This window comes from Homo sapiens, chromosome X (genome assembly GCF_000001405.40).
Source record: "Homo sapiens chromosome X, GRCh38.p14 Primary Assembly".
Classification (NCBI taxonomy): domain Eukaryota; kingdom Metazoa; phylum Chordata; class Mammalia; order Primates; family Hominidae; genus Homo; species Homo sapiens.
In genome coordinates, this window is record NC_000023.11 from 46,885,289 (window position 1) to 46,906,983 (window position 21,695).

General features: G+C 41.6%; 1 long non-coding RNA gene across 1 annotated transcript, besides 1 other annotated feature; it reads right to left on the reverse strand.

The window, feature by feature from the left end:
• Positions 1–2,128: 2,128 nt before the first annotated feature.
• LINC01545 (long intergenic non-protein coding RNA 1545) lies at positions 2,129–14,416 on the reverse strand. Its single transcript, NR_046101.1, has 4 exons — positions 14,316–14,416; positions 9,236–9,293; positions 5,005–5,091; positions 2,129–2,404 (listed from the first exon to the last, which is right to left on the reverse strand). It is a non-coding gene; the product is annotated as a long intergenic non-protein coding RNA 1545 (long non-coding RNA).
• Positions 18,664–18,923: an enhancer, noted in NCBI's record as "active region_29578". NCBI's record gives its function as "activates an Ori minimal core promoter by ATAC-STARR-seq in GM12878 lymphoblastoid cells {active_cell/tissue: GM12878}" and the evidence as "EXISTENCE:reporter gene assay evidence [ECO:0000049][PMID:35858748]".

Genomic DNA, 21,695 nt, shown 5'->3' on the forward strand with positions numbered 1-21,695 from the left:
GGTATTCTTTTAAAGCAGTTCTGCTGTGAAGCCATACACTCGGCTACAAATAGGCAACTGAACAGGAAAAAACAAGTGCAAGATGCTGTTAAGACTTCCTGCGGTTTGGGCCAGGCATGGAGGCTCACGCCTGTAATCCCAGTACTTTGGGAGGCCAAGGTTGGAGGATCACTTGAGGTCAGGAATTCGAGACCGGCCTGGACAACAAGGTGAAACCTCGTCTCTACTAAAAATACAAGACTTACTGCGGTTTTCCTATTGATTGATGTACTTTCATTTGTCAAATGTATGTTGGTTTGTTTGTTAGGTGAATTGATAGAACCTTTTATACTTTTTTTTTTTTTTGAGATGGAGTTTTTGCTCTGTTGCCCAGGTGGAGTGCAAATGGTGCGATCTTGGCTCACTGCAACCTCCGCCTCGGTTCAAGCAATTCTCCTGCTTCAGCCTCCCAAGTAGCTGGGATTACAGGCACTCAACACCAAACCCAGCTAATTTTTGTATTTTTAATAGAGATGAGGTTTCACCATGTTGGCCAGCCTGGCCTCGAACTCTTGACCTCAGGTGATCCACCCGCCTTGGCCTCCCAAAGTGCTAGGATTACAGGCACGAGCCACCGTACCTGGCTTAGAATCTTTTATACTATTTCACCCTAACTTCTAAACTGATCTTATATTAAATATTTTAAAACTTGTCTCACAGTAATCTGGTTTTAGGATCATGTAGGGTCTGGACATTTTTAATCCCTCATTTTACTGATGAGGAAGAAAATTGAGGCTGGGCACAGTGGCTCACGCCTGTAATCCCAGCACTTTGGGAGGCCAAGGTGGGTGGATCACCTGAGGTGAGGAGTTCAAGACCAGCCTGGCCAACGTGGTAAAACCCCATCTCTACTAAAAATACAAAACTTAGCTGGGTGTGGTCACACGCCCCTATAATCCCAGCTACTTGGGAGGCTGAGCTAGGAGAATGGCTTGATTGGCGGAGGTTGCACTGAGCTGAGATGATAGCACCACTGCACTCCAGCCTGGGTGATAGAATGAGACTCCATTTCAAAAAAGAAAAAAAGAAAGAAAATTGAGGGCCAGAAAGTTTAGACGGCCTGTCCAACTCACACCATAGTCACTGAACTTTAATGTTGACCTCTTGACTTTATCCCCATGATTACCAGGAGAAGACTCAGCCCATCCATCCCTTCCTGTATGAAGCCTTTTCTAATACTCTGAGGTAGAAAGGCCCTCCATGGTGCTCACATAGTACTCTTTATAGATTTCCAAGTACCTGCAACACTTCACTCTATTTCTTTATCCATGCGTTTCTTGCTACTCAAAGTGTAGTCCATGGGCCAGCAGCATCAGTATCACCTAGGAATTTGTTAGAATTTAAGGCTCTACTCCAGATCTCTTGAATAAGCCTCGACTTTTTTTTTTTTTTTTTTTTTTGAGATGCTCTGTTACCCAGGCTGGAGTGCAGTGGTACGATCTCAGCTCACTGCAACCTCCACCTCCTGGGTTCAAGCAATTCTTGTGCCTCAGCCTCCGGAGTAGCTGGGATTACAGTTGTGTGCCACCATGCACAGCTAATTTTTTTTTTTTTGTATTTTTAGTAGAGATGGAGTTTCGCTATGTTGGTCAGGCTGGTCTCGAACTCTTGCCCTCCAGTGATCTGCCCACCTCAGCCTCCCAAAGTTCTGGGATTACAGGCATGAGCCAAGATTTTCAGGGGATTCATATGCACATTAAAGTTTAAGAAGCCTTGGCCTAGACTATTGGCTCTAGAATCAAGGCTTAGAAATTGTTCTATTCCTAGAGAGTAGCTTAGAGTCCAGTAAAGTGATCTATGTTTAATATTTTTTAATTGAATATTCACAATCCAGTGTTTCATTCTACTCTATCAGACTTTAGTCTCTTCTGTAATTCCTCCTTTCAGGTACTCTCCTTGATTGGCTTTCGAGTAACAATCCTTCTACAATCTCTATTTTTTCTGTTTTGTACTGAAATAGTAACTATGGTTTCTGCCCATTGAGGCTCCTAGGAAGCTTTAAGAACATCATTGGTATTCATTGGAAACAGATAAGAGCACAGCAGTTTCTAACTTAAATTTTTTCTGACTTAAATTTTCTTCTGATATGTTTTCATATTCAGGCTTATTTTATTCAATTAGGAAACAAGTTGCATAAACCCAGAGTGGTGATTTGTTGATGCTGGGGCAGAGTTCAAATGAAAAAGCAGTCAACTTCTTGCTTTGAGCTTGCAGAGGAAAGTTAGTCACTCGGTCCCTCTCAGATCTGTCATCCTCTGTCTTTTATCTCTTGACATCTTCCCACTTTTCCCAGTGTTCAGGGATAAGCTTGGGCATCACCAATAAAACATGTACAGGACTGTCCAGGAAAGTGTTCAGTGTTGCTCTAATATTTGGGGGAGAATATGATAGTTAACAGTGGCTTTTCTTTCTTTCCTGGAATAAAGGCTTAGTTGTAAATCTAAAATTTGGAAGAAAAGTAAAATTCTAAATGCACACTCTACCTTTATTTACTTTGAATTTTTTTTCTGTTTCTTTAGTATAAATACATTGATGTCTTCATATGAGTCTTAATTGTAATTTCTTATTTAGGAAGCTTTTTTTAAATTTTTATTTATTTATTTACTTATTTATTTTGTGTGTGGCCAGACACAGGGCTCATGCCTGTAATCCCAGCACTTTGGGAGGCCGAAGCGGGAAGATAGCTTGAGGCCAGGAATTTGAGACCAGCCTGGGTGACATAACGAGATACCATCTCTACCAAATTTTTTTGAAAAGAAAGGTTTTTTTTTTTTTGCATTTATTCAATGGTAGCAGTAGACCAGGATTCAGGTGGCAGATGATTATCCCCTTCTAATTACTGTTTTAAAGGTAGCATAACACAAAAAAAACAGAAAACAAGTGTATAAATGTGGTGCTTAGATTTGAAGAGTCAGACGTTTCTGACTTGAGCCAGGGCTCAGCAGCTTGAAATAAAAACAAATGCAGACATTCTTTATACAACTTTGATCAGGTGTATAATACTACAAATCCTTTTGTGTTACTATTGTGTAAAGCAAATAATCAAAGGTTAGAGCAATAGGTAGGGCAGCATTTGATACCTATATGGTGCTGTTCATACTGAATCTAACCCCACTACAAAATAACACTCCAAAAATAATGTTCCGATTATTTTTATATTATTTTATATATGTTATATATGTTATCTGTATTTTATATTTTTATATTAGCATAAGTATAAGGAAAGATGTAAACCATAGGACACAGTAAATGCTCAGAATCTCACAGTGTCCTCCCTTCACCCTTATAAACTTGCTTAATTTTTTTTCTTTGTTTTTTAGGAACAGGATCTTGCTCTGTCACCCAGGCTGGAGTGCAATGGTGTCATCACAGCTCACTGTAACCTCGAACTCCTGGGCTCAAGTGAGCCTCCTACCTGAGTCCCCCAAGTAGCTGGGACTACACGCACATGTCACAATGCCCAATTAATTTTTAAATTGTTTGTAGAGATGGGGTCTTGCTATGTTGCCCAGGCTGTTCTTGAACTCCTAGGCTCAAGTAATCCTCCTGCCTCAGCCTCCCAAAGTGCTGGGATTATAGGCGTGAGCCACTATGCCTGGTCTTAAAACTTGTTTGTATGAGTGCTTTTTTAAAAAAAATTGTGAAAAATAGGTGACACAAAATCTACTCCCTTAACAAAAAAAAATTTTGAGACAGGGTCTTGCTCTGTCACCCAGGCTGGAGTGCAGTGGTGCAATCATGGCTCACTGCAGCTGTGACCTCCCAGGCTCAAGGGATCCTCCCACCTCAGCTCCTTAAGTAGCTGGGACTATAGGTGCATGCCACCATGCCTTGCTAATTTATTAATTTTTTTGTAGAGATGAAGTCTATGTCATAACAAAAATTTAAGTATACAAATATAGACTATGAGTGCATTTTTATGGGTAAATGTTACTTTCTTCCCCAGCTCAAGTATATGTAAAGAGGTTCCTCTCACTGTATCTGAAGGGACATAAATCATTTAAGTATAGTTGGGTTTGAGTTTTTAAATGCTGTTAAGATATAGCAGCTACTTATATATCAAACTCTGTGTTTCTGTGTTAAGTACTTTACATATAGAATCTCATTTAATCTTCTCAGCAACCCTAAGAGAGGTACTATTACTATTCCTTTATTATTATTATTATTGAGGAAATTGAAGCTTAGAGAGCTAATTTCCCTTGGTCAAACAGGTGCTAAGCTCAGAGTCTGGATCCAAGGCCAGAGAGAGCCGTTTAACTCCGAAAGCCATGCTCTTAGCCACTACACTATACTGCTTAGCAATAAAAATAATAGCAACCATTTACTGAGCACCTGCTATAATAGCCAGGCACTGTGCTCACTATTTTGCATATATTAAGTCATTTAACCTTCACATCAAGTGTATGAAGACTGCATTACTGGTCCCATTTTGCCAGATGAAGAAATTGACACTTAGGTCAAGTACCTCATTTGTTCAGGGTCACATGTTTGAAAACTGGGAAGAGGGGACCTATTAAAGGATGAGATCAATATGGTTAAGGATGTATTTGGCCAAAATGGAGTAGAACCAGAATAGAACCTGAATCTTGCCCCAACTACCTGTTTCCAGGCGATCTCAGGGAAATCTATGCCCAGAGTAGAAAACAAAGCAAAGATTCTTCATTATTAGCTGGAGCTTTGGCCCTAACCACCAGTGTAGAACTGTAAGGACTCGCGCTGGCCCATAGCAGTTTTCCTGTGCTAGATTGGCCTGCGGCCCCCAAAGCACACATTCTAGGATCTGCTCTTCCTCCACTGATGGGACGAGGGCCTGCCTATGAGTGCTAGAGGAGGAGAAAATTGAAAGAAAGATGGTTGTATTGATGCTTGGGAGCCTGTACCTCTAGGCCTGGCTGCTGCAAAGGGAGAGAAAGGGAGAATGAGCAACAGGGCACTTCCAGGCAGAAGATGGAGACAACCACTTACCTCTTTAGTCTTCTTAAAGTTCCTCTTTCTATGACTGTGGTACAGCCTAGTGCCATGGAATCTTCCCAATCCAGATTAACATTCCTTCTGGGTGGGGGGGTTGGAGGAGAAAAAGAGAAGAGAAAATCTGAGCTTCCTTTACCCTTAAGACCAGCATTACCACAGCAAGTAAGTGTCTGAACTGGGATCTAAACCAGTATCTGTGCTCTTAACCACTATTCCAGTGGGAGGGGCATATCAAAATTACATATAACCCTCCAGGCAGTTATAAAGCCTAAACATGGTATTGTGCAAAGCATTAAAGATGGGAGAAAAGACTGAAGATGGGTAAAGAAACAACATTCAAATAAACACGAAGTCAAAAACAAAAACAGGCCAGGTGTGGTGGCTCACGCCTGTAATCCCAGCACTTTGGGAGGCTGAGGCAGGCGGACCACTTGACGCCAGGAGTTCGAGACCTGGCCAACGTGGTGAAACCCCATCTCTACTAAAAATAGAAAAATTAGCCAAGCATGGTGGTGCACACCTGTAATCCCAGCTACTCGGGAGGCTAAGGCAGGAGAATCGCTTGAACCTGGGAGGTGGAGGTTGCAGTGAGCTGAGATTGTGCCACTGCCCTCCAGCCTGGGTGGCAGAGCAAGACTCTATCTCAAAAACAAAAACCCAAAGATCTATCTCTCTAAGTACTGATCAGGAGAAATCTTACTGTTAGATGACAAAACCAAGATCTGGAACAGTGTACTCACTATGCTACCTTATGTGTTAAGAAAGGGGAGATTGTGTGTGTGTGTGTGTGTGTGTGTGTGTGTGTGTGTATGCTTAATTTTACATCAAGAACCACTGAAAGGGCTGGGCACAGTGGCTCATGCCTGTAATCCCAGCACTTTTGGAGGCCAAGGCAAACTCCTGAGGTGAGGAGTTCAAGGCCAGCCTGGGCAACATGGTGAAATCCCATCTCTACTAAAAATACAAAAATTAGCCAGGTGTGGTGGCAGGCACCTGTAATCCCAGCTACTTAAGAAGCTGAGGCAGGAGAATTGCTTGAACCCGGGAGGCGGAGGTTGCAGTGAGCTGAGATTATGCCACTGCACTCCAGCCTAGGTGACAGAATGAGACTGTCTCAAAAAAAAACAAACAACAACAACAACAAAACAACCAAACAAAAAAACCCAAAAAAGAACCACTGAAAGGGCAAATAAGAAACTAATACAAGTTACTTATAGAAGACAAGGGGAAACAAGGGGAGTGGGGTCAAAAGTGAGAATTAGACTCTTTTTGTTGTACAGAGAGGGTCTCACTATGTTGCCCATGGGCTCAAGCAATCCTCCTGCCTCGGCCTCCCAAAGTGCTGAGATTACAGGTGTGAGCCAATGTGCCCAGCCAAGGAAATGAGACTTTTAAAATGTATACCTTTTACAGTTTTGATTTTTGAACTTCATAAATATACTATCTGTTTTAAAATAAAAGTTGGGGGTAAAAAACAAAGAATGTGGTAGAGAGTGAAGGAGAAAAGAATAAGTAGAAAAAATCACGGGAATACTTTTCCAAAAATTAGTTGGGTGGTCTTTTTTTACTTGGGGTGGAATGCAGGGAAAGCAAAAAAATTAGTGCTCAGAGATGGCTGGAAAGAGATGGCTTTTGGCTGGATATCATAGACTGGACCTGGAGCCCAGAATAAAAGATGTTTCCTCAGCAACTAAAGTAGCTGATGAAGAACTCCAACTCAATTAAGAGATTGAGATTAATTAAGAGTCACCAAGTCAGTTGGCACAACTTTTATTGTTGTTCATGTGCATTACTCCTTTTTACCTCCTAAGAATGCTATCAGGCCAGATGTGGTGGCTCACGCCTATAAACCCAGCACTTTGGGGGGCCGAGGAAGGAAGATCACTTGAGCCCAGAAGTTCTAGATCAGCCTGTGCAACATAGTAGGGCCTTGTCTCCACAAAAACTATGAAAAAATTAGCCAGGTGTCACTACACCTATAATGTGCCTATAATCCCAGCTACTGGGAGGCTGACGCAAGAAGTTTGCTTGAGCCCAGGAGTTCAAGACCAGCCTAGGCAACATGACAAGAGCCTATCTCTACAAAAAATTTAAAAATTAAGCTGGGCGTGGTGGTGTGTGTCTGTAGTCCCAGTTACTTGGGATGCTGAAGTGGGAGGATTGCGTGAGCCCAGGAGGTCAAGGCTGTAGTGAGCCATGATCATGCCACTGCACTCCAGCCTGGGTGATAGAACAAGACCTTGTCTCAACAACAACAACAACAACAACAAAAAGTTACCAGTGTTAATACCACTTATACTCCAGAAGCGTGCTTCTAAATCTTGTCAGGATCTATAGGTGTGTTTTAAAAATCACACTTTGTTCCCTATAGCTTCTTTTTTTCTTTGAGATGGAGTCTTGCTCTGTCGCCCAGGCTGGAGTGCAGTGGCGAGGTCTCGGCTCACTGCAACCTCTGCCTCCTGGGTTCAAGCGATTCTCCTGCCTCAGCCTCCTAAGTAGCTGGGACTACAGGCGCCCGCCACTACACCCAGCTAATTTTTGTATTTTTAGTAGAGATGGGGTTTCACCATGTTGGCCAGGCTGGTCTCGAACTCCTGACCTCAGGTGATCCACCTGCCTCAGCCTCCCAAAGTGCTGGGATTACAGGTGTGAGCTACTGCTCCCGGCCCCTGTAGCATTTTTTACATCAGTGAAAATCACTCCATTTTTCTTCAAAATTTCTTCCAATTTTGGTTCCTGGGATATTGAATGCAGTTGTCCCCCATCTATGAATTCACTGAGCACTGCTTCTTGGGCCAGGAACTGTGCCAGACTCAGTGTTTTCTACTTCTCTGAGACTTAGTCTTTTTGGCTAGCTCCTCATTTCTTTTTTCCTCTACCCTCCTCCACCTCAGCTGTCATCACAGTACAAGACTCAGTCTTGAGTCCTCTGCTTTTATCCTTATGTTATTTTTTTTGCTTCTAAATATTAATTTTAATTACTTTGAAGCAACCTAACTTAGTATCAAATGTTTAACCATTACAATTGCTAAACTGGAAAATCAGCATTATTTGTATCTGACCAATTATATAATACTCATCAATTTTTCTTTTGATAAAAAATACGGGTTGCGTATCCTTTATCTGAAATGCTTGGGACCAGAAGTGTTTTGGATTTTTTAATTTTTTCGGACTAGAATATTTGTATTATACTTCCCAGTTGGGCATCCCTAATCCAAAAATCTGAAATCCAAAATGCTCCAATGAGCATTTCCTTTGAGCATGACCACTCAAGTTTCAGATCTTGGAACATTTTAGATTTCAGATTTTTGGACCAGGGATGTTCAACCTATAGTAGAAATCCTGAAGAGTACGGGAGAGTCTACTAGTTTACTAATTTAGCACCATATTTCCAGTCTTAGAACCTCCCAAGCAGCTGAAAGGAGGATGGGAAGAGGCAAAGATGTTGGAAAGTAAGGATAGTTTTTAGCTCCATTTTTGTTCTAAGGCAATGCAGGGTCTAGCAAAGAAGAAAAATCACTGAGGCTGAAGACAAAGCAAAAGTTTTTGGTTCAGATGGTAAAGGAGGGCCTGAAGAGCAGTGGAATCGGTGTATCCAGAAGGCAGTGCTGGAGTCAACCTCATGAACTAGGGGGTGTCTTCTTGGCACCCAATTCCTTTTTAATTTCTTCACATGTTTTAGCTAGATTTGGTATGTCATAGTTCTGAGCCACATACATTCCAACCACATTGCCAAAAGCAAGTGCAAGCAGGAACTGGAACGTGATGTCGACAACAAGGGCAAGGAGGACAAAGAGGTTTCAATGGGTGGCTGCAGCCCTATATATTCTTTCCTTCAAGTACATGAACCCTTCTCACCACAGATTCAACTGTCACTACAGAGCACAGCCATTCATCTGACTGCCATTCCTCAATCTGCCAACTCTCTACCAAATATGCTCACTTGAATAGTTAAATAATTGTTCTCCTCGTCTCACCATGTACTAAATTCAACTCATTATATTTCTCTTTCCCAGATGGTCTCCCTGTCCTGGCATTTCCATTTCCATCGATGACATGCAGTTATCTTAGTTATACCATTGACATTTTGGGGTCATTTTAGCTTGTTCTTTTTTCCACTCTGCTAAGCAGCTGTTAACTAGCCTTGTTGTTGAAATGTTTTTCTTCTCCATCCTCTCCTTTTCATGTCCCTCATCATCAACCTAATGACCCCATGGTTACTTACATCAGCCTCCTGATTGGGGTCCTCACTTGGGATCTTTTCATCCTGTACATCCTATACACTGCAGGGTAAAAGAGCATAGTAGTTAAGAGCATAGCCCCTGGGGCTGTTATCACCAGTCTTATATCATCTTGTGACACTTTCTATTTTGGAACTCTTAAATAATTTAAAAATCTCCCTAGCTAGATTGTCAGCTTTCTGAGTAATCCAAATGATGAGTACCTTCACTTTGAGAAAGGAGAGCACTTTCTTTCTTTCTTTCTTTTTTTTTTTTTTTTTTTTTTTTGAGATGGAGTTTCACTCTTGTTGCCCAGGCTGGAGTGCAATGGCGTGATCTCGGCTCACTGCAACCTCTGCCTCCCGGATTCAAGTGATTCTCTTGCCTCAGCCTCCCGAGTAGCTGGGATTACAGGTGCCTGCCACCACGCCTGGCTAATTTTTTTGTATTTTTAGTAGAGATGGGGTTTCACCATGTTGGCCAGGCTGGTCTTGAACTCCAGACCTCATATAATCCACCCACCTCGGCCTCCCAAAGTGCTGGGATTACAGGCATGAGCCACTGCGCCCAGCCAGCACTTTCTTAAAGGACAAAAAAAATGGCCAGGTACAGTGGCTTACACCTGTACTTGTAATCCCAGCACTTTGGGAGGCCAAGGTGGGAGGATCGCTTGAGCCCAGGAGTTTGAGACCAGCCTGGGCAACATGGCAAGACCCTGTCTCTACATCATGCTACTGCACTCCAGCCTGGGTGACAGAGTGAGGCTCTGTCTCAAAAAACAAAACAAAACTAAAACAAACAAACAAAAAACAGGCAGCAACTACATGCCAGGTACTTTCAAAAAATTAACCTTGGCATATCTCACAGTGACTATCACAGGATATCACAGGAGATAAGTCAATAGATATTATGTGTTTAAAGAACTGAGTCCTCTGCTTTAGTGATTTCATCTCCTGACTATTGAATGGGGCATGATCAATGAAAGCTGGTCTTTGCTTATGTTCCTTTCCATACCTGCAATCCCTTTTTCTACTCCCTACCTCGAAGCTTCAAATTTTGCCCATCCTTCAGGACTAGTCCAAGTTCTATCTCCTCCAGGAAGCCACTGACCCATGATCATTTTGGCTAGTTGTGTCAGAGTTGCAAAGAACAAGTGTGGATTTGAGAACCATCAGACCTGAGTTTGACTTATATTCTGCTACATACTACCTGCCTAGATCTTCATCAGCTATGTAATGTCTTTAGTTTCCTCCTCTGCAAAAAGAGAGTGATGCATGCTTTGCAGTTATTTTGAGCATTCTATAAGTAAAAGCACCAGCCCTAGTGTTAGTTCTCCTTCCCCTTAATCATATAAAACATTGAAGTATTACTTCTCTTATGTCTTATTTTTTCCAAAATGACACAAAACCCACTGTGGACAACACCAAGACTTCTATATCTGCCCCATCTTGGCCTTAGGCAGCCAAATACTGCCTGAGGCAGAAGCTGGTAGGATGAATGCAAATATGAATATGTTCGAGGAGGTTCTAGTACATTAATACCACTAAATCAGTAACTTATTGAAATGAGCTGAACACTGTAGGATGGGGGTAGGAGGGTGAAGAGAACCGTTAGCAGGTTACCAAAAAAGGAATAACATGCTGGTTCTCATGTAACACAAAGGCTTGAGGGAGGCAACCCACAGTGGGTTAGAAAGTGGGTTAGTGGGATAGAAAGGTCCTGGGCTCTGTCTTCCTTCCTGGCCATCCTAATCATGTAGTTTTTTCTATTTGCTGGTAAGATAGCTCTCATACCTGGTTCTCATGTAACACAAAGGCTTGAGGGAGGCAACCCACAGTGGGTTAGAAAGTGGGTTAGTGCGATAGAAAGGTCCTGGGCTCTTTCTGTCTTCCTTCCTGGCCATCCTAATCATGTAGTTTTTTCTATTTGCTGGTAAGATAGCTCTCATACCTCTTAAGTATTGTGACTGCATTCTAGGCAGAAAGAATAAAGAGAGTGGCAAAAGGCCAGCTAAGTCTGTCCCCTTTCATCAGGAAAACAATAACTTTCCCAGAAGCCTCATGCAGTAGACTTCTGCTTAGATCTCATTTGCCAGAGCTGGATCACATGTCCATTCTGGCTTCAAGGGAGTCTGAGGAATTATTTTTACTAGGCACATTGTTTTGCTGAAAAATTGAAGTTCTGAAAGTAAAGGTGAAAAGAGTGGCTATTGGGTAAGCAACTATCAGTATTTGCCACACGAAGCATGCATTATCTGTTTAGTTTAAAATACACCATAGGGTCCTTTCCGCTCGGAGACCTCTCTTTCTATAGACAGAGAGCTGTTTCTCTTTCTCTTGTCTTCTGCCTATTAAACCTCCACTCCTAAACTCCTTGTGTGTGTCCGTGTCCTAAATTTTCCTGTCGCGTGACAATGAACCCCAGGGTATATACCCCAGACAACGTAGTCACTTCATAATGGGGACCTCATCCGAGATACCAAGGTGCAACATTCACCGAAACGATGAATAGATGAGGGGACTCCAACTCTGTCCTTTCATTTCGAGGCTCTTGGCTTCCATTTTAGAACCAAATCAAACCAAATACTGGGCCCCCTTCAGCCATTTAAAAACGATTAGTGTGGCTGCCAGCCTTAAAAGACTTGGGGGACAGGCTTACTAGGGAGAACATGGAGAATCTCCCGGCACCCATGGGTTGCTGGGCATATTGGCCATGTTTGAACCAGCTTCCTTTCACGGAAGACTTAGCCATCAGGTGGGGCTGGAAGAAGTCCTGAGGCAGCTGAGGATTTCTGACCAGGGCTAGCTCCCAGTGTTATCCAAAGGCTTCTGGACTGGCCCCAGCCTCCAATTGCCTCGATGGGGTGTCGGCAACAGGATCTCCAACTTTCCTTTTGTAATTTCCTCCTTTCCTGTCTGCGACCGCCATATCTCTTATCCTCTCTGTATGCAATGTGTGGGAAGCTTTACAGTTCAGGGAAGTAATCTTGTTTGGCAAGACCAGGGAATGTCATAGTCCATGTAAACGTCATACCTGATCAAACCAATCTGTGAGCCCCATGTAAATCAGACACCCCTCCTCAAACCTGACTATAAAATCTGGCACATGGGCCGCCTGCTGGTCCTTTCTGTTCGGAGACCCCTCTCTCTATATATAGAGAGAGCTGTTTCTCTTTCTCTTCTCTTCTGCCTATTAAACCTCTGCTCCTAAACAAAACAAAACAAAACAAAAACAAACAAAAAAAGAAACACTATAGATAGGTGGGAGGAACTCTTCAACTGGCTCAAACTCCAATGCCCTAAGCTGGGGAGCATCCCCCTCCACCACCACCACCACGTGTGGATACCCCCTTATCCTGTTTGAGCTTTGATGTTTGATGCCCGCACAAGGTCACTTTAGGAGGATTCTCTCTAAGTACTCCTTGGTCTCTGATACCCCATACCTGACTATCTCCACTGGACAAAATAGGTTCTTGAGTCAAGCACTAAGTAAGGAATATGAAGATTTCATAATTTGTGTGCAGTTTCAGATAAATTCTTTCCAAAGTTAGGAGAAGTAAGAATAAAATATGTAACTGGAATCAGTTGCTACCTAAAGATGTCTTTTTTTAAACCTCACCATGGTACCTGGGGTTAGAAGCAATGCTTTGTTTACTCTTTTTAAAAAGCAACAGAATGGGAATATTGTAGTAAATCTCTGGGGGAATTCCTGTCTTCACACCAAAAATAGTTGTTATTCTCTTAGTTGGTTTGGTTTTATCTCATGGACATTTTGAAGTATATATTTTTTCTTATTTTTTTCCAATTTTTGAGCCACATACATTTTATAGACTACTATTCATTTTTAATCTGTTTCCTTTTTTCTTTTTCACTTTCTCCTTTTCTCTCCTACTCTTTTTTATTTTCCTTCTTTACTTTCTCTTTTTTCCTGCCAATTTTAGTTTTTATCTTTGTGCTGTATTTAATTGTATCATCACAGGCCACATTAAATCATTTCTGGAAGATCAGTTTTAAATAAATAGATGAATAAAAAAATAGCAGTTAAAAAAAGGGAGAGAAAAGATTTAAGAACATTTCTAAAAGTAACCCCAAAATTTCTTCAGGGGGATAAAAAGTGGGATGATTTGGGAGGTCGAGGTGAGAGGATTAGCTGAGACCAGGAGTTTGAGACCAGCTTGGACAAGACGGCAAGATCCTGTCTCTACAAAAAAAAAAAAAAAAAAAAAAAAATTTAATTAGCTGGGCATAATGGCATGTACCTATAGTCCTAGCTACTTGGGAGGCTGAGGCAGGAAGATCACTTGAGCCCAGGAGTTCAAGGTTACAGTAAGCTATGATCACACCACTGCACTCCAGCCTAGGCGACCCTGTCTCAAAAACAAAAATGAAACAGTGGAATGAAATCATTTGGGTAATGTCTCCCAGACAAGTAAAGTATTCCCAAGAAATTTCTGAAGGAATTAAGGAAAATTATTGATGTTATGATTAAAAAACAAACAAACAAACTGGTTCTACTATAGAATAATAGACATTGGCAACTCAGAAGGATGGGAGGGTGGTGAGGAATAAGAAATTACTTAATGGGTACAATGTATATTATTCAGGTGATGGTTATGCTAAAAGCCTGGACGTTACAACTATGCATTATATCCACGTAACAAAACTGCACTTTTACCCCTTAAATGTACACAAATTTTTTGAAAACTGGTTCTTGCACCTCAACAGACACATAGGATTTATGAATGGACTTGGATAGAGCATAGAGGAAGGCCTGGAGCAGTTTTCATGGGCTTTTGTCTCCTATGGCCCTGGTGCGTCTATCTTCAGGAAGCTAAATACAGAGGCTTCTGAGAATTCACTTAGATGATGGTTCCCAAGAGGAACAACTCTCTCCTAAGCCACACATGGGGCAGTTTACTTCTAATATGGAAAATTATGGGTCGGGCATGGTGGCTCATGCTTGTAATCCCAGTACTTTGGGAGGCCAAGGCGGGCAGATCACTTGAGGTCAGGAGTTCAAGACCAGCCTGGCCAACATGGCAAAACCCTGTCTCTACAAAAATTAGCCAGGCATGGTGGCGTGCACCTGGGAGGCTGAGGCAGGAGAATTGCTTGAATCCAGGAGGCAGAGGTTGCAGTGAGCTGAGATCGCACCACCGCACTCTAGTCTGGGCGACAGAGCAAGACTTCATCTAAAAAAAAGAAAGAAAAGAAAGAAAGAAAATTATGGATAGTCTCTGAAGCTGAGCATTCTCTGGAGTCAGACACTTTCTTAATCCCTTTTGAAATTTCTGATGGAGAAAAATCCAATCCAAAGAAAGAATATGAAATCCAGGGAAAATTAGTTTTTTTTTCTTAAGTGCATATAAGTTATGGATTTATATATAAAATAAAGATAGTGATTGTATCAGTCAGGATTCTAACAGAGAAACAGAACCATTAGGAGACACATGTAGATATAGATATAGATATAGGTATAGATATAGATGAACTGGCTTATGTGATTGTGGTGGCTAGCTAGGCAAGCCTGAAATCTGAAATCCTTAGAGCAGGCCATCAGAAAGGACAGGCAGGAGTTCTCGAGCACAAGCCAATGCTGCTGTCTATGGGCAGAATTTCTTCTTCAGGAAAGCCTCCATTCTGCTATTAAGGCCTTTAACTGATTGATTCAGGCCCACCAGATTATCTAGGATAATCTTGTTTACATAAAGTCAACTGATTATAGACTTGATTCACATCTACAAAATACCTCTCAGCACCACCTAGATTAGATTTTAATGGAATAACTGGCTTATGTTAGCCAGTTATAAACTAGGGACTATAGCCTAGCTATGTTAACACATAAAACTGACCATTACAGGCCAGGTGCACAGTGGCTCATGCCTATAACCCCAGCACTTTGGGAGGCTGAAGCGGGCGGGTCACTTGAGACCAGGAGTTCGAGACCAGCCTGGCCTCAAGGCTGGTGAAACCTCGTCTCTACTAATAATACAAAAATTAGCCAGACGTGGTGGTGAGTGCCTGTAATCCCAGCTACTTGAGAGGCTGAGGCAGGAGAATCACTTGAATCCAGCAAGTGGAGGTTGCAGTGAGCCGAGATCACACCACCATACTCCAGCCTAGGCAACAGAGTAAGACTCCGTCTCAAAACAAAACAAAACAAAAAACAAAACTGACCACTACAGTGATGTTTGGTGTTTCATTTTGATTTTAACTTCCATCAGTGAACATTTTGTTCTTTGTGAAAATAAATCACAAGCTAAGATAGGCTTCTATGGAGAGAGTGTCAATATTACGGATCCATGGCATCAGTTGTAACATGTATTTGGTCTATGAAGGTCATTAGCCATCTGGTAAAAGGAAGCTATACTGATTATAACTCACTCATTGGGTGTATGCTATTACCTAATTCCACTAAACTGTTTTCCGTTCATTGATTTAAAAAGTTAGTTATTCAATTCAATTGAAGTTAACACCTGAGAAGGATTTCAAAGAACAGATGTGTATTTCATTTGTAGAAATCATTTTCTCATGTCACAAATGTTTAATGAATCCACTCTCCCTTGAGTTAGAAATGGTAGGTGCTTTGAAATACTTGAACCTACACAAGAGCAGAAAGCATTTTATTTTGAAGTGTGCCTACTGTCCAGTAATAATGTTGGACAAGTTATTTTCTCTCTGAGCCTTAGTTTGCTTACCTGTAAAATGGGAAATAATGATTATTGTCTTGAGGGCTTGGGAAGGATTAGATGAGAAAACATAAGTTAGACACTTGAAACACAGTAGATGTTCCACAAATATTGATTTTTTTTGCCTCCTTCTATGAATACAGACTTCATAAGTGAAGTCCTATGAGTTAAAAGTCCTCTCCAATTTTTTTGCAGATTCTATCTAGCAGCACTATTTTGGATATCACTGTGTAGCGAAGAATCAAGTGAGGTTTCCAGTGCTCATTAATTTATCAAATTGACTATAAAGATTCACTGTAGGTGGCTTTGTATTTACTTATGTGCATAGGGAGACCATTTTTACATGTTATCACTTCAACAATAAATACAGATAAAGTTGCTGGAGTTTACAATTGCTTTTTATTTGAAAAATCAGCAATTTTCCTAATTTTATCTGAAAATGTTCTTCGGAGTCATGGTGGTGAAATTCTGAGCAAATATTAGGTGTCACTAGTTTTCAAGAGTGTGAAATAATTTTTGATTGAGAAAAAAGCATATCTTAAATTCTGTTCAATATCAGACTCACATGTCTTGGCAAATGCACACATTGTTTTTGTTTCATTATTAATTTTTTTTTTTGAGATGGAGTCTCGCTCTGTTGCCAGGCTGGAGTGCAGTGGCATGATCTCTGCTCACTGCAGCCTCCGCCTCCCTGGTTCAAGTGACTCTCCTGCCTCAGCCTCCCAAGTAGCTAGGACTACAGGCACGCGCCACCACGCCCGGCTAATTTTTGTATTTTTAGTAGAGACGGGGTTTCACCATGTTGGTGAAACCACCAGGATGGTCTCGATCTCCTGACCTTGTGATCCGCCCACCTCGGCCTCCCAAAGTGCTGGGATTACAGGCATGAGCCACTGTGCCCAGCTATTAATTGTTAATTACACAAATAATACAGGGTTTTGTTTTTTTTTTACATGAAAAAATTGGAGATAAATCTAAAATCTTCTTCAATCCCCACTCCCATTGGGAACTACAATTATCAGTTTGGTCTGTATCCTTCCAGAGCATTTGTGTATGGATTTACATAGGTATTACTGTGCACAGACAAAGTAACTCATGGAAAGTAGGTATTTTACTTGTCTAAGGAAAATTGGGCCAGTTATTGATTTTTATCATATGAAATTTGGCGTGATGGGCAAGAAAGAGATTGGAGAGAAAGGAGAAAAAGGAAGGGAGGTCTTGCCAAGATTGATCTTTTACTTCTTTATAGTTCTTTGGCCTTTTCTTTTTTGGTTCCTTGAGCCCATTTTAGGTGAGTTACACTATCAGAGTGTTTCAGCAGTTTAAAGCTCTTGCATCCAGTTTCATCAACCAGTGGCTCAACAAAGACAGATAAATAATCCCCTATACTTTCTGAAAGTATCTTTCCACCAAAGTCCAAGCATTATCAGTTTCATTTTATGAATGAAAAAAAGAAAAAAAAAGGGAAAAAAAAAAGAGGCCAGGTGCGGTGGCTCATGCCCGTAATCTCAGCAATTTGGGAGGCTGAGGCAGGTGGATCACTTCAGCTCAGAAGTTTGAGAGCAGCCTGGCCAACATGGTGAAACTCCATCTCTACTAAAAATACAAAAATTAGCCAGGTGTGATGACGCACACCTGTAATCCCTACTCAGGAGGCTGAGGCACGAGAATCACTTGAGCCCGGGAGGTGTAAATTCTTTGTGTTTTCCAACTGAAACTGAAAACTTTATCTGTTAATTATTTCATTAATTTTTCTCTCTTTTTTTCGAGACAGAGTTTCACTCTGTCACCCAGGCTGGAGTACAGTGGCATGATCTCTGCTCACTGCAACCTCCACCTCCCAGGTTCAAGCAATTCTCCTGCCTCAGCCTCCCAAGTAGCTGGGATTACCCGCGCTTGCCACCATGCCTGGCTAATTTTTGTATTTTTAGTAGAGACGAGGTTTTGCCATGTTGGCTAGGCTGGTCTCGAACTCCTGACCTCAAGTGATCCGCCTGCCTTGGCCTCCCAAATTGCTGGGATTACAGGCGTGAGCCACCGTGCCCGCCCTCATTAATTTATTTTAAAATGTAAGGTAACCAAGCTTCAAACAAGATGACATAGACCCATTTCTCTTTGCTTTTCCATGCTAAGTACAATTAAAATTCCTAAAAGTAATACAAAAGTCCATCATAAGGGGACTGGTAGGTGGAAAGAAGAAAGTGGACTGGCTAGAGACTTCAGGACTTGAGGAACGACACTGTGATGGGCTCCTGGCTTTTCTTTTTATCTTCTGTATGTTCCAGACTGGGTGCTGGAGAAGCCTGCAACCTAGAATCTCCAATCAGAGCAGACAAACAAAACAAAACAAAAACCTGTTCTTTGTGGCCAAAGGACTGGGAAAGGAGAAAAACCCAGCCCAGCATAAGTAAAACCCTGTGGACAGCACCAGCCCTACCCAAGCTGAACCCTGTGGTGTCAGCAGAGTGAGACTGAGTAGGGACTGGAAGAGCTCTGTCCCCCATTCAGTAGCCTCAGGTGGCTGGGCAAAAAGCCGCCTTCTTCCCCCATGGGAACACCAGACAGGATTGAGTGGGAGTCCCAGCGGTACCAGGGAAGCACTTTCCTACCACGCTGGGCAACAGCCAAGAGCTAGGGGGAGCCCCAGTCACACCAGGCAGCCGGAGGAGGCGTGCTCAGCCCTGCTGGCAGCATCAGCGTATACCCAGCACGGAGTCCAGACGCTTGTCCCCGACCCAGCAGCAGCAGGTAGGCAGGATTAGTACTTTCAACCCCTACCGGCCTAGCATCTCCCAACCCCTCACCCAGTGGCACCAGACGGCCCAGGGAGGCACTTTCCATCACAGGCACCATGACGGGGACCAAGTGGGGAGTCTCCCGAGCCCCATCAAGTGGCAGGCAGCTGGGAAGGTACTTTACTTTCCCACCAGTGGTGTCAGCAGAGAACTAGTGGGGAATCTGGACATCTGCTGCCCGGCTCCCAGCAGGCATCAGCAGAGGATGCAGACAGGTGCTCCCCTCCCCACTGTTGCCATGTCAGTGGAGACTGAGTGAGGAGTCTGGACTTTCACCCTTATCTGCCAGTGGCAGCTGGTGCCCCTCACCCTTCCAATTAGAGTGCAGAAGGGATCTTAGAGAGGAAGGAGCTGCAGAAAGGCATTCTTTACATCTGCATAGGAAGTCCTGGAAAGACACCTGTCTGACCCAAGCGTGAAACTAAGTAAATCACCAGGTCTGCAGGTCTGACAACTGAACTACTGTGTGGCATACCACTCAGGTTTTCAACGTGGCTTGGGAGTAGCACACAAAGCAGACCAGAATAGTGCCACAAGGGTTCTAAAAACTAAACTGTCATTGGAACTACACAGTCCACAAAAGTAGGCCAGGAAAACCCAAAAATATCCACACCAAGACACATCATAACTAACTTTTGAAAACTAAAGATAGAGAAAAAAAATCTTGAAAGCAGCTAGAGAGAAAAACACACATTACCTATAGAGGAACACTGATTTAAATCATAGTGGATTTCTCATCTGAAACCATAAAGGCCGGAAGGAAGTGGTACATTTTTCAAGTGATGAAAGAAAAGAACTGTCAACTTGGAATTCCATGTTCAGTGAAAATATCCTTCAGGAATAAAGGGGAAATAAAGACATTCTCAGATGACAGAAAATTTATAAAAATTTCACTAGCAGACTTACTATTAATGAATAGCTAAAGGAAGTTCTCCAAACGAAAAGGAAATGATAGCAGGAGGAGGCCTGAAACTTCAGAAAGGAAGGAAAACAATGAAATGTATAAAAAATAAGGATAAATATAAATAGACTATCCTTTTCCTAATGAATTTCTTTCAATTATGTTGAATTGTTGAAGCAAAAATTGTAACACCATCTGATGTGGGTTCAATGTATGTACAAGAAATAGAAATTATATTTTTAAAGTGGGAGGACAGGCCGGGTGCGGTGGCTCACGCCTGTAATCCCAGCCCTTTGGGAGGCCGAGGCAGGCAGATCACTTGAGGCCAGGAGTTCGAGAGAAGCCTGACCAACATGGAGAAACCTCAGCTCTATTAAAAATACAAAAATTAGCCAGGCGTGGTGGTGCATGTCTGCAGTCCCAGCTACTCGGGAGGCTGAGGCACGAGAATCGTTTGAACCCAGGAGGCAGAGGTTGCAGTAAGCTCAGGTTGCGCCATGCACTCCAGCCTGGGCGACAGAGCAAGACTATGTCTAAAAAAGAAAAAAAAGTGGGAGGGTAAGGGATAAAGGAACCTAAAGGAAAATAAAGTTTCTACCCCTTACTAAAAGTGGTAAAATGTTGATAACAATACACTATAAGTTATATGTGTATATTTTAACACCTAAAAAACAGAAAACTATACACACTGATATACTCAAAAACATTATAATAAAGTAAAACGGAGTTCTAAAACATATTCAAGTAACCCACAGTAAGGCCAGAAACAGCAAACAGAGGAATGAGAAATAGAGGGAACAGACAAAAAGCAAATAATAAAACATTAGACTTAAGCCCTAAGATACCAATAATTATCTTCTAATTAAATGGTCTAAATACATGAATTAAAAGGCAGAGAATCACAAAATGGATTTTTAAAAAAATAACCCTCTATGTGCTGTCTATATGAAACTACTTCAAATACGATAACATAGGTAGAAAGTGAAAAGAAAAAGATATACTACACAGACATTCATTTATAAAAACAGATATGGCTATATGTTAATATCAGAAAAGTAGACTTTGGAGCAAATAAAATTACCAAGGACAAAGAGAGATATTACACAATGATAAATGAGTCAATCCACCAAGAAGACAAAGAAATCCTAAACATGTATGCACCAATAAATAAGGCTTCAAAATACATGAAGTAAAATCTGATAGAACTGAAAGAAAAACAGGTAAATCCATGATTATAGTTGGAGACTTCAATACCCTCCTCTCAGCAATAGAAATACTAGACAGAAAATCAGCAGGATTATAGAACTCAACAATACCATAAAGCAACAGGACCTAATTTATAGGACATTCTACCCAATAGCATAACTCACATTCTTTTCAAATACCCATGAAACATTCACCAACATAACCCATATTTTGCATCATACAAAATTTCAACAAATGTAAAAGAATTGAAACCATGCAGAGTATGTTCTCTTGAACTCCTGGCTTCAAGCAATCCTCCTGCCTCAGCCTCCCAAAGTGCTGGGATTACAGGCATGAACCACTGTGTCATGTTCTCTGACTATAAGGGAGTCAAACCAGAAATCAATAACAAAGTCAGCAGGAAAATCTCCAAATATTTGAAAACTAGACAACACACTTCTCATTAATACATAGGTCAAAAAAGGAGTCTCAAGGGAAATTTTTTAAAAATACAATGAACTGAATGAAAATGAAAATATAACATATTAAAATTTGTGGAATGGAGCTAAAGCAGTGCTGACAAGAGAGTTTATGGCACTAAATCCTTACATTAGAAAAGAGGCTGCCGGTCACTTGCCACTAAAAGAAAAATTTGTAATATATTTTTTTAAAATTTTTAAAAAAGAAGAGGTAAGGTCTTAAATCAATCAGGTAAGCTCCCACCTCAAGAGACTATAAAAAGAAGAGCAAAATTAAAACTTCAAAGCAAGCAGAAGGAAAGAGACAACAGCAGAAATCAATGAAATTGAAAATAGGAAAACAATAGATAAAATCAATTAAGCAAAACGCTGTTCCTCTGAAAAGATCAGTACAGTTGATAAACCTATAGCAAGATT